We start from the raw sequence: 13278 nt of genomic DNA on the forward strand, positions 1-13278 counted from the left end.
ACCAGAGACCACAACCTCACCTGGAGCTCTCCCTCTCCTGGAGCTCTAAGTGCAGGCCCATGAGTTACCAGACTTGCCTTGGACGGCAACCCTTACCCTCCCAGCCCACTGCACCAACCACTCCATGCGATCGTGCTCTGTGACCCTTCACCTCTCAACCCTCCCTCCTTCGCAAAGTCCACCACCGCCAGTTACATTCCCACGGATGCTCATTTAGCCACCCCTCTGCCACCTACCTGGACCCCTTTCAACCCCCTGCATCTTCCCTGTAAACATCCAAAGGTAGGTCAACTCAACCATCAGTCTTCTGCAGACCTATGGTCAGTGCCGGTGCTGCTGGAGAAAAGCTCATACATGGCAGCATCCTGCCATGGCCTGTCCTGCTCCAGGGGGTCCTCTACGCATGCCCGCCCAGCATCTTCCACAAGCCCAGAGCAACTGTGCCCATGCTCCTCACCACCCAAGCCACCCGCAACTCTGTCTCAACTTCTACTTAAAAACAATCAGACAAATAAAAACAAAATGAAAATCAAACCTGAACCTACCAGGATCAGGCATGATTCCCTGGTTTTCACTCCCTAACATGTCTCTACTTCTGCATCCACCTCATTTTCCTTTATTCCCAGAGGAAGAGGTTCTTGTACAGGATGGAGGGCAACCCTTCCACCTCTGCACTGTATCTGAAGACCCACTCATTCTCCCCAGTACAGTGCCTCACCCATTAGCCTCCAAGTGGAAGATGGGGGCATTCCTGAGAAAATTAGGTACCATCCCCACCTCCACTTCCTCACCTCCAGTCACTCCTGAAGCCCGCACCCAGAGCAAGCCTCACGGGCACCTCTGTTGATGCCACTGAGGCATCACTCATGACTTCCTAGTGGCCAAACACACTGGGTCCTTTCCAGGTCACCCTACTCACCTTCCGATGCCCAGGTCTTCACTTCTGTTCATGCACCTGTCTGTGCCAGCCTCCCCAGTCTTCCCAGCTAGCTCCTCCTCTTCTACCCTCCTCCTTGCTCCCAGCCCTGACCACACTGGCCTCCCTGCTGTCTATGAAGGCCCCAAAGCACTGCCACAGCTCACCATCTGCAATGCTCTGCCTTCAAAACCTACAAGACTTGCTCCTTCGCCTTCTTTAGGCCTCTGCTCAGGTGTCAGTTCATCAAAGGTCTTCTCTGACCAACCCTTACAAATGGCCCACTTCCCCAAATCCTTGCCCTCAGCATTCCCAGCTTATCCTTCAACCCTGCTTCATTTGTCTCCACACTTAATGCTGCCACCTGACATCTTCTATACCTTTTTGTGACACTCTCCCTCAAGAATAAATGTGAGTCCCCATGAGAACAAAACTTGCTTTGTTCACTGCTGTATCTCAGAGCCTAGGATCACGACAGGCATATGGTTGGCACCTAATACAATTTGTAGCATGAATGAATTAGGGGCTTAAGGAGAATGGAGATGTTTAAAAGAGTAGCTATAGGAATCCATGTGTCAGTAAGAGGGAGGTCAAAGCCTGTGGACTAGAGAAGAATCCACTGAGGGCAGACGCCACAGCGGGCCTAGCCTGCCCACAGTTCCAGGATCATACCTCACCAGACTCTCTCATCCGCAGAGGAGAATCAGAGTGAAGGGAAAGACACACTTGTGCTTTAGGAATGCTTCGTTAACTCCTGGATTTACAGACCTGTTCATTTTTATCTGGCAAAGAAAGGCTCATCTTGACATCTGACTTCATTCTCCGCAGTAGGTATGGATTTATGGTATCTCGTAAGACACATGCACACTTGTAAGCAGTTTTGACCTTTAATAAGAGCAGAGAAGGGAACATTACTATATATGTTTAAGGAACGCATTTGTTCTTACCTCTCAATTGCTTCCATTCCTTAAAAAAAAAAAAAGAATAACCAACAGCTGTATAAAGTCAGTGGGAAATGATTGCAAAATGGTTTGAAAAAGCTAGCATAAGTTCCATATACTCCAAGGGGTGGTAGCTTTCATAATATTATCAGTTAAAAAAATTATCTCATTAACCAAAATGTACAACAAAAGAAAAACTGATAATTTTGTGCCTTATTTCTCTTATACACTTTCCTTTAATTATTACTATACAGTTAAACCCTAAAGTAGAGACTTACTGGGTTCTTGACCACCAGCCCTAGGGGAAAAACTGCTTTTGTACAAATCTCTGTTTATGATCTTGTATTCTCCAAAAGCTACAAAGGAACTCTGCAAAGCTGAAGATCAAAAGCTAACTCTGGGGAAAAGCTACAGTGATGGAGCAGCCAGCCAATAAGCAGAGATTACTGTCCACTGGAGACTTACAAGAGTAAGTTCAACAAGAGCCCTCTGATCCCAGAAACGAAAGGTCACTCTGCCCTAAAATGCAGCATATGGTTCTGTAATGGAGCACGGCCACATGAGATGAGTACTAAATATACGCAAAAAAAAAAAGCCCCACAGCCCAGAAAACCACTCCCTCTGCAATTCACTTACAGGCAAAGTAGTCAATAAATTATTGCTACTTCAAAAAAAATCTAAATAGGCTTAACAACTTAGTAAATTACTATTTCATGGAAAAAATTCCAACCAAAGTTTAAATTTAAGAAAGTCAGCTGTAAAATGAATGATAATAAAAAAGAGCTTGACCACACACACAGAAAAAAAAGTTAAAAAATTAACTTGTTAAAAAATGTTCTTAAAGAACGCTAAAAATACCTCACTCATGCACATATATGTATGTGTGTGTATCTGTTGTATGAATGCATGTGCGTAAATATTAAAATAGGCTTTACTTTGAATAATACATAAAAAAGAAGCTCAACTAATCAATGACTTTTAGTTATATATAACTCCTTAAATATATCATTCAGACTGATGAATATCACCTTGAAGATGATGATGAGGTACATATTATGATTTCTGATGCAGAGATGATGAAATTTCAGAATTTAAAAACATAGTCCCACTGAGGAAGCACGAATGTACAGTCTATAAAGAAAACTGCCCCCACATCCTCCCTCCACCCACACCCCCTTCCGCAGAAGAGCGAGCATGCTGGTTGGAGGTGCTGGTCAACTAAACCAGGGCTAGGCTGGGGAACGGCCGGGCTGTGGCTCCTGCTCTCTCCTGCATGCCACCCCATGGAGATGATCTTCTGTTTCACTCCCAACTGGCTCCCAGTCTGTTCCTCTATTCATAAAAACACAAGGTGGGGATTCAGCTAGATTTCTCTACCAATGCTCACATCCCAGTGCTGTGGAAAACAGACAACTTGCTGAGCATGCCCATGCTCCTTCCCATTCTGACAAGGCAGAGCTCTGCCTCTTCCTGAGCACAGTGACCTTAGGCAAGTCACCAGAACGCTGAGAATCAAAAACCTTGCATGTGGAATAAAGAGGGTCAACTAGGCGTCCCTGCAGGCTCTTCTCAGTTCTCACATGCCCTGCCCCAGCTGAGCACACCAACCCCAGCAGCAGTCTATATTTGGGCTGCTGACATGCTCCCCATCACCTTCCTCACCTTTCAGGCCCCAGGTGAGTCATCCCTTCTCCGAGAAGCCTTTCTGAGCCCCATAAGCTCTGACACTGGGCATCTCCCCTGATCACAGTCCTCACTGCCCTGTACTGGGACCAGGTTTATTTGCCATTTTCCCCTGTGCCCACCCCTACTGGACTGGAAATACCTTCATGGGAAGGTTCTGGTTTCTAGCCCCTGCCATCATTTTAGCACCAGCATGACAGAATAAATACCGGCACACAGACTATCTTCTTAGAATTCAATAATGCAAGGCAACATGGTCTCAAACAAAAAGGAGCAAATACAACCAATACTCTGCTTCCAAAGATCTCACCCGCTAGGAAGGGGAGAAAGATAAGTACACAAATTCCTGAAACAAGAACTTCAAGGAAAAAAACAGATCATAATGACATGTTCTCAAATAATTTTTCTATAAATGACTTATTAATGCCAAAGGAGAAGTGGTAATCTCACAGAGTTTAGATCTGGCCAACACCACCTTAAAGTAATCAGAGTTAACATCACCCATAGTGGAACAAACAGACAGCATGTTCCTCCAGATACCATGCACTGAGGAAGACACATCACTTCTGTGATATTCCTAGCCAAAATGTATAACCTGAATCCAATCATGAAGAAATGTAAGGCAAACCCAAACTGAGGTACATTCTACAAACTAACAGGCCTATAGTCTTTAAAAATGTCAAGGTAATGAAGGGCAAAGAAACAGTCCCAGATTAAAGGAGACTAGAGACACGGAAACTACTGGAACTGACAAAATATGAGTGATTATAGACTAGATAACAGACTCCTATTAATGTTAAACTTCGTTCTGATTTTGTTGCTTACACTGGCTATGTAAGAGGCGATCCTTGTTTTTGGAAATACACACTGAGGGATTTGGAGAAAGGGGCATCAGATCTGCAACCTGCCCTCAGGTGGTTAGAAAACAGTAACCTCAGCTGTGAATCTACATGGAAAGAGGTGTGGGAGAGGGAGGGGAGGAATGGTAAAGCCAATGTGGCAAAATGTTTGCAAAATGCTAACAATCAGTGAATCTGGGTGAAGTGTTAAGAAGGTTTTCTTGTTTGTTTGTTCTTTTAAAATTCTTGCAACTTTCTGTTAAGTTTGAAATTATTTCAAAATAAATTTTTTTAAAAAAAAGAATGGTATAACAGGAGATTCAGAGAAAGAAGAGACTCCTTACAAAAGTTAACTGAAAATCATTCAATCTCAAAATGTAAAATATATTAAAATTGTTTTTGACAATCTTTTAATCTTAAAGGTCTAAAATTCTTTTTCTAATTAAATACTCCAAAATACGAGAGCTTCCCTTTTGGTGGAAGGTCTCATCCCTGGCTCAGCCATGACCTGGTAGGCACAGGCCCACCCAAGAAGGGATGCACAGAAACCGTGCCTCCCACCCAGGCTGCAGCCTGCCATACAGGCCACAAACCACCCTATGGCTAACTTCACCTCCTGGCATTTCTGCCTGTGACCACCCCATTCCATCAGGCACCCGGGCCTGAAACCTCAGGAGTCAGTCAGTCATTCACAGCAAGCTTAGCCCCTACTCCATCTCCTCGATCCTGTCAGCCTCCAAACCTTGTTTGTTCTGCCTAAAAATGCCACCTGCGTCTCCTGCCCCACCATCTTTCTCAGACCACCACCCAAGATCAGGTCCAGGTCCTCATGGCCCTCACCCCAGTGGTTCCTGCAGGTCACTCAGTGCCAGCCTCCCTCTTGTGACTACCCTGTAGCCTGAGGAACCCCTGAGAACCAGCATCCTCCAGAGTCCTGCTCAGACACTTTCAGTAACCCAGCCCTCCCTGAGTGCCACTGCTTCCCTTTCAAGGCCCCACAGTTCTAGCATCCACAGCTTTTTAGCTATGCCCCCACAAGCATCTCCAATCCAGTCAAGTGGGTCTCTTCACTGCGCCCTGCCACATATGGTGGCTGCATCCACACTGTTGCCCTAATCAAGAATGCCCTCACTCTCCATGGCCTACATTCCCAGAATCAGGTTAAGGGGCATGTCTCATTAAATCATCCCTGAACAGTCCAATCCTCCTAGTGTCCCCTTTTCTAAGTTTCTCCACTACTTTATAAGATGCACTACCCCAGTTTGCAGGACTAAATTACATGCTGTTCCAAACTGATTTGTCCTTGTTTCATAATTTCTAACTGCTCTTCTGACCACATGTGACATCTTTTTAAACATCCCAGGAACAATGCCAAAACTGTTTAATTTCCATTAAACAAGGAGATATTTTATTCTAGGGCTTTCCTCTCTGTGAATAGTTTTCATGATGTTTTAAGTGAAAAAATATGATCAAGCAAAGATAATTTTGTGATTTTTTTTTTTTTTTTTTAACCAGATACCAATTTATGAGCCTGGCCATCTTTCTCACATTCTGAATGACTTGGCTACAAATTATAGTATTTAATAGGAGCACTTTAAATATTAAAATGCCAAAAGTATTATCATCCTAATATTTTACCTGTACTGGGGAAGCATTTGAATATCCCCCCATGGTGATGGGGACGGAGAACTGCTCCATAAACACAGGCAACGTGCCTAACTTTCCCGGGAAGATGAAGTCAAAGAGCGACCACAGCTCTCGGAGGTTATTTTGCATCGGTGAGCCAGACAGAATGATCCGATGAGGGGTGCGAAACTATTTGAGGAAAGGAAGCACCTTTTTATTAAATTTACCTTTTAGCAATCGCCATTCCTACCCTAAAACGCTCCTCTGCAAATTATTTACACATTTACTCATCATTCTTGCATCATTTTGGTACTCTCCAAAACATACACATTTTATGCAATTACAAATCCTTAATTACATTTAGATGAAAAAATGAGAAAGAATTTTTTCTTATTGTTGAAGCTGAATACTATAGATTAGAGTTGGGTTTGGTTACATTCTAACAACTGGCCCCTACAAGAGACATTAAATAACATGAACAATCAGAATTAAAGACATGATTAAGGGCAAAAATAAAGAGTTTTCTGCATTAAGGAAAATGCACATTTTAAATTTCTTGTGCAGTTGGCACAAGGAAAGATTCAATAAATGTGTTACTAAAAGCAGATAGTTTATTCTGAATTAATTATTCTTCTCCACTTGGAAATCTCCCTTGTTAAAAGAGGTCATACCTGTTTGCAAGCAAGGGTGACAGCAGCATTTGGATTTCGAATTTTGTGTCCTTCGTCCAAGATCACATAGTGCCAGTCATACCTGCTAATGTCATCCTGCATCAATCGAATGTAGGAGTAAGATGTGATCAAAATTCCATGACAATGAGCAACATCTCGAATTAGTTTCTCCTGAGACCACAATAAAATGGTAAAGTCAGTTTTAAATAAGAAGTGACACCCTTTCAATCATGACACAATCTAAAGTACTTTATAAAAATGCACAAATACAAACATAACATGCACAATCACAGACATTATCAGCACTGGAAGTGTACTTGTTAACCTGGCAAGTAGTAAACGCTGACTAATACAGCCGTTATTAGGGGAAGGAGACTCTCAAAAAGATGACAAAGTTATAATACATATATTTATAAATATATACATATATTAAATTATTATTTTTATTTTTTCAAAACATCCTTTGTGTCCATTCTTGTCAAAACAACAATGTGGATGGAAAATATATTAATTTAAAACAAAAGCAAGAAAATAAGAGAAAATCCAAAGAGACAAGGCAGACAAATCTAGGATCTCTAACAATGTATAACAAGAATTCCAGGACAGAGTGAAAAGGATATAAAAGCAATGATTTTAAAATGATAGAAAAAAAGCCGGGTACAGTGGCTCACAACTGTAATCCCAGCACTTTGGGAGGCTGAGGTGGGTGGATTGCTTGAGCCCAGGAGTTCGAGACCAGCCTACGCAACATGGTGAAAGCCTATCTCTAAAAAAAAATTTTAAAAGTTAGCTGGATGTGGTGCCAAGCACCTGTAGTCCCATCTACTCAGGAGGCTGAGGTGGGAGGATCCCTTGAGCCCAGGAGGTCAAGGCTACAGTGAGCAGTGATGGCACCACTACACTCCAGCCTGGGTGACAGTCAGACTCTGCCTCAAAAAAAAAAAAAGAAAAAAAAAAAAAGAAAATGTTAGAAAACAATCACCATAAATGGAGCCGAGATTTGAATCTACAGAACAAAACATCTCCCAGAGTGTCAGGCAGAGACACTAAGAAAAAGACGCATCTGTAGACATATCTTACTAGATGTCTGAATTCCAAAAATAAATAAAAACAGCCAGGCAAAGTGGCTTATGTCTGTAATCTCAGCACTTTGGGAGGCTGAGGGAGGAGAATCGCTTGAGGCCAGGAGTTCAAGACTAGCCTGAACAACAAAGCAAGACCCTGTCTCTACAAAAAATAAAAAAATTAGCACTGCATGGTGGTGCACAGCTGCAGTGCCAGCTACTTAGCAGGCTCAGGCAAGAAGATCCCTTGAGCTCAGGAGTTAGAGTCTACAGTGAGCTATAATCTCACCACTGCATTCCAGGCTAGACAACGGCGCAAGATCCTGACTCAAAAGAGAAAAATGTTTTTAAAAATAAGGAGAAAATGTCATAGATTCTAGTCAGAACAAAACAGAAAAAGAAAATATTCCCTTCAGAGGAAAAAGACTACCTGCATCAGACATCTTTTCTGCAACACTAAAAATGTCCGAAGGCAAAGAGGAAAATCTTTACGTAATTCTAAGAAGGAAAAGTGGTGACCATGGATTCTACATCAATCCAAACTAGCAGTCATGCTTGATGAATAAAATAAACAAATTCCAGCTTCAGATAGGCAAGGACTTGGAAGATCAGTCACCAAGAGATTGGCTAACTACAGTGCACTGCACCCAGACAGTGGAGTGGTGCAGTCGTGGACAAAGAGGAAGGCATGCACAAATGCCATGCCCTGAAGAAGGAAAGACAGCAATGCTCCTGCACCACATTCTCACCACAGACCATGCTCACAGCAGCTCCCCAAGGAAGGACAGAGGGGCCATCACTAACCCCATTTTACAGATGAGGGAACTGGGGCTTGGAAATGGTAACTAATGTACCAGGTCACGCAGCTGCTAAGTGGTGGAGTCAGAATTCGAACGGAGAAAGGCAGCCAAATCCAAAGCTAGTACTATTGACACTAGGCTACACTACCTCCTACTAAAATATAAAAGAAAAAGTTTAAAAAGAAGATTGTATGTGATATACATACCATTTAAAATAAATCATTAAAGCATAACAACAAAGCCTAAATATTAAACACTTAAATATGAATGAAACTGTTAAGAGGGGATCTAAAATATTAAAAGGTATATATTTTTAAATGTTACTGTAATTCCTGTTCAGTTTCATAAAAGCTGGATTGAGATTAAGGGAAAATAAAAGTGAACTAAAAATTCCACCCTGTCCAATGGTAGAAAGGTACACAGGCAATAGATATTTAATTCTTAACTATGTGAGAAAAATATGTTAAAATACATTTGCCAAAACTTTATGCTGATTACTGAGTAACAGTTGCTACTTCCACCTAAAAACTAGAAAATAGAATGTAGAACTATCAAACCATTACAGAGGAAAATAATAGAAAATAGCAAAAATCAGGACAATATAAAACAGAAAACAAAATACCAGGTTTCAAACTAAACCTAGTAACCCACCACAAGACAGTGAGTTATTAACAGGGAGACATTCCACTGGGTAAGGCAAAAACCTAGCCTTCTGTTTAAAAGAGACCCAAACCAGACTGGCACTGAAAGTTGTAATATGGGAATTATCAAAGATATATCAAAGAAATGCCAACCAAAAAAGGGCAGGCTTAGCAATGTAAATATGAAACAAAAAGGAGTGAACAGAAAGAGGGATATTTTATATTTTAATGGGGATGCCACAATAAGAAAAAAGAACCATGAACCTTTACCTACCAAAACGCACAGCAATAAACACAAAAGCAGGGCCCTTAGAGCTGTCAAAATGACACATCCACAGCCTACCCAGAGAGCTGACCACAGCCTCTCTGAGAGAAAGTCAGATCAAAGAAAATAAAACATTTACAAAGAGGATGCAAAGGATTTGAGTATCACCATCAGACCTCCTTTCAACAGTGATCAGCAGCACTTTAGACTATACAAAGAATATTCATTCTTTACAAACACTCTATTAAGAAAAGCTGAAATCAAAGAGAGCAGTCAACTTAGCCTCCCAAAAAAGGAAAATGAGAGAATTAGTAAGATAAAAATTAGTGGGTATTAAAAAAACTGGTAGAATTGATAAAGCAAAATAATAATAACTCTTTGGAAAGACTAAACCAAACAAACCTCTGAAAAGTGAGCCAAAATAACAGACTGAGATGTACAGCATCAGAAATGTCAAAGGAACACAATTACAGATGTAGAGAATACAAAAGTGTTAACCAATATACATGCTACAAAATCTGAACATTTTGACAGATATGATAGCTAAAAAGTTCGTTGCAAAAATGGACCCAAGAAAAATCAGACCAACAGAACAAACCAATACTGAACAATGTGAAAAAGATGTTATACTCTTCTCACCAAAAGTCTACCAGACCCAAAGGGGTTTTATGAGTAAAGTAGGACTAGATCCTATTACTGAAATTGTTCCAAAATATAGAAAAAGAATGGATTCCAATCATTGTTACAAGGCTAGCAAACCCTGTTTTCAAAACTGACACAGCACACTTATGAGTGTGCATACACGCCTCTAAACTAGAGATCCACTACTTTACAGATAAAACCTAGTAATATATTAACCTACTAAAGGCTTATCACAGGAATACAAGAATAGCTATCAGGAAGCCTAATATAATTCATGTAATCACAATCATCTAATACAAATTTTATAAAATTCAACATCTTCAAAAAATGGTAATTTTATATCTTCTTAAAGAACTAGGATTAAAATGTGTTTTAATTCAACAGAGTATAAAAGGGTACAAGAAAGGCTAAGAAAATCTGAAGGAACAAAATAAAGAGACATTGTCTTCTCATATGTTGTAATTCATGTAACATTCAAAGAGTTAATACAATTGCTGCAGAGAATAACCACAATGCCTGGACCTATTAATAATTTGACAGGTGTGTGCCATACTTTTATTACTATTATGACTACTCATCTTCCATCTTCCCATTCACAAAATTCGACACCTGCACAATACCATATTGAAGGCCACATCTGAAAGACCCATTTCCTGACTTTTGACCTCACAAGAATACAGCAATAAACGCCTTGGGGTGCACAACGGCCTTAAAAACACACGTACGGGTTCCCTCAGGACTCCCTCGCCACCAGCCCCACTTAGCTGCTGGTGCCAGTGAAGAAAGCAGTCTGCCCAGAGAAAAACCATCCACCTTTAGCACCTCACCTGGTCAGACCTGCGACCTTTAGAAGCCAAAGCCGAAATGAATTCTGGACATCACCTAGTGTAGCTGGAGCTTTCCCACAGTTACCAAATGAGACACCAAGCTTCCCAAATGTATACCACTGGAATGATGTTTAGTTTCTTATGCTTGCTTAAGGATTGAAATTTATCTGGAAAATTCTAAATATTATTATAGGTATAGAAATGTTAGCTATAGAAATACAAAACTTCCTGTGTTCAGGAAGATGTATTAATGATTAACAAGAATTAAAAAGATGCTTATGTAAAAAGAACAAGAAATTGTTCAAAATGTCCCAGTTGAAAATATAATCTCCACTTAGCCACTGGGCAAAACCCCATCTAAGACTATTTGTTATCACCTGATTCAATCGCAGAATTCTATAGCTGCCTAGACTGGAGTTTCAATAATGGTGAATTGTTGAATATTATGGACGGCTCTATCCAAACACTTAAGACAAATCATCTCGGGCGGTTTCAAATTAAAAGCTTGTAAAATATGTAACCTCTCCTAGTTTTTGCAATTAATAGGGTACATCTGCAATTAGCCTGACTTACTGAATGCAGTGCTGTTGTCATTAGAAGATGTCTGTGAAAGGGCTGCTGTTATTATGGAGGCTCAAGAGACCAATCCCTCCTAGAGGGCAAACAGTGGACTGGTGGAAAACAACAGCCATAAATCACACTGTCAGGCGGCGGGGAGAGGAGCGAAGCACAGGCACATGAAGGCCATTCACAGGAAACACAGTACAGCCGCTTCCTAGGCAGGATTTACTGCACCTGTAATTAATTAAAATTTCCTTCAAGCTAAATCTTTAATAAACAAGGATTTGTGCTGACAATAAGAAAAAAAAGGGCTCCAGCAACACAATTTTACAACATACCTCGCAGAACAAGCCCAGCATCTATCATGTCTTCTATAAGGTGTATACACTGACTCTAAAGTTAATAGGAATGATACCACTTTGCATTCTATTATAATTTGTGTACTCAGAATGTGTCTGAAATATTTCAGATGCTTAAGGAATAATGTGGCCTCTTTCTTTTTTTTTTTTTTTTAAAGTTTTTTACTCCCTTCTAGCTTTTTTTAAAGCCACGTCTTTTTGCTCTAGTGTTTCAGAAAACAGGCCCTTTTAAAGAACATGTTGATGGGAGTTTCATCGGATGGCCAAGTTTTTGTGTTATTTGCTTTTTTTCTTTTTGAGACAGAGTCTCGCTCTGTCGCCCAGACTGGAGTGCAGTGGCGTGATCTCAGCTCACTGCAAGTTCCGCCTCCCAGGTTCACGCCATTCTCCTGCCTCAGCCTCCCGAGTAGCTGGGACTACAAGGTGCCTGCCACCACGCCTGGCTAATTTTTTGTATTTTTAGTAGAGACGGGGTTTCACCATGTGGCCAGGATGGTCTCGATCTTCTGACCTCATGATCCGCCGGCCTCAGCCTCCCAAAGTGCTGGGATTATAGGCGTGAGCCACCGTGCCAGGCCATTATTTGCTTTTTTAACCACGCCCTGCACTTCACTGTTTCCATCTGGGGCCAAATGTATCTGAACATGAGAATAAAAGGTCTAGATGATCTTGAATGACCATGAACATTTTTGATAAAGTAGATGTGTACCTTCTCTCTAGACTACATACTGAGTCAATCAGCAATGCCTCATTCAGCATCTTTTCTTTTCCCAACTACTGAGGTGAAGAGGCCTAAATATTCTTTGTTTCTAACAACAGCAAGAATTACCTGAGTAAATGTTACCTATTAGGGACCACACTAAGCTCTTCATACATACATATTAACCCAAAAAGTCCTAACAAGTTTACCAAAATTTACCCATTTTATAAGTGATCAAATCAGGCTCAGGAAGGCAAGTGATTCGCCCAAGCTTGCAAAGTTATAAAACAGCAGATCCAAGATTCGAACCCTGGTCTTGTAAGCACAAAACCAATGCACTTAAAACTGCATGCTCTTGTTGCTTTTCCCACTCTTATGCATCTACATGTCATGAATTGATCAAAACGAAACAAAACTCTTTAAATTACCTAAGATGTTACAGAACTACTAGAGACTACGTAGCAAAAAAAGGTAGGAGAGAGACAACTGTTTCAGAACATAAGCAATTTATCATTATGTATCTTCCAATAAATTGAAAAAAAAATCCTTAATCATTAAATAAACTTTACAAGACAGTGCTAAAGATGTCACCACCTACTGTGAGTTATGGGATAGGTATCACAAGACTGCCTTCTTTATCTCTTCATTTACTACATTTTCTTTCCCCAAGGAAAGAGTTGGCTTTTTAAGGTTAGTTAAAAACATCCTTTATTTTTTTTGAGCCCTAGCAACATCAAACACCT

General features: G+C 40.8%; 1 protein-coding gene across 2 annotated transcripts in view; it reads right to left on the bottom strand.

The window, feature by feature from the left end:
• ERCC6 (ERCC excision repair 6, chromatin remodeling factor) overlaps window positions 1-13278 on the bottom strand; it is a 104658-nt gene that overhangs the window by 41789 nt on the left and 49591 nt on the right. For both annotated transcript variants that reach the window (NM_001346440.2, NM_000124.4), the window contains exons 9-11: window positions 6677-6847; window positions 6018-6194; window positions 1685-1801 (exon numbers count right to left, since the gene is read on the bottom strand). In NM_001346440.2, the coding sequence (NP_001333369.1) occupies window positions 1685-1801; window positions 6018-6194; window positions 6677-6847 (465 nt within the window). The remainder of the gene's footprint in view (window positions 1-1684; window positions 1802-6017; window positions 6195-6676; window positions 6848-13278) is intronic.

This window comes from Homo sapiens, chromosome 10 (genome assembly GCF_000001405.40).
Source record: "Homo sapiens chromosome 10, GRCh38.p14 Primary Assembly".
NCBI lineage: Eukaryota > Metazoa > Chordata > Mammalia > Primates > Hominidae > Homo > Homo sapiens.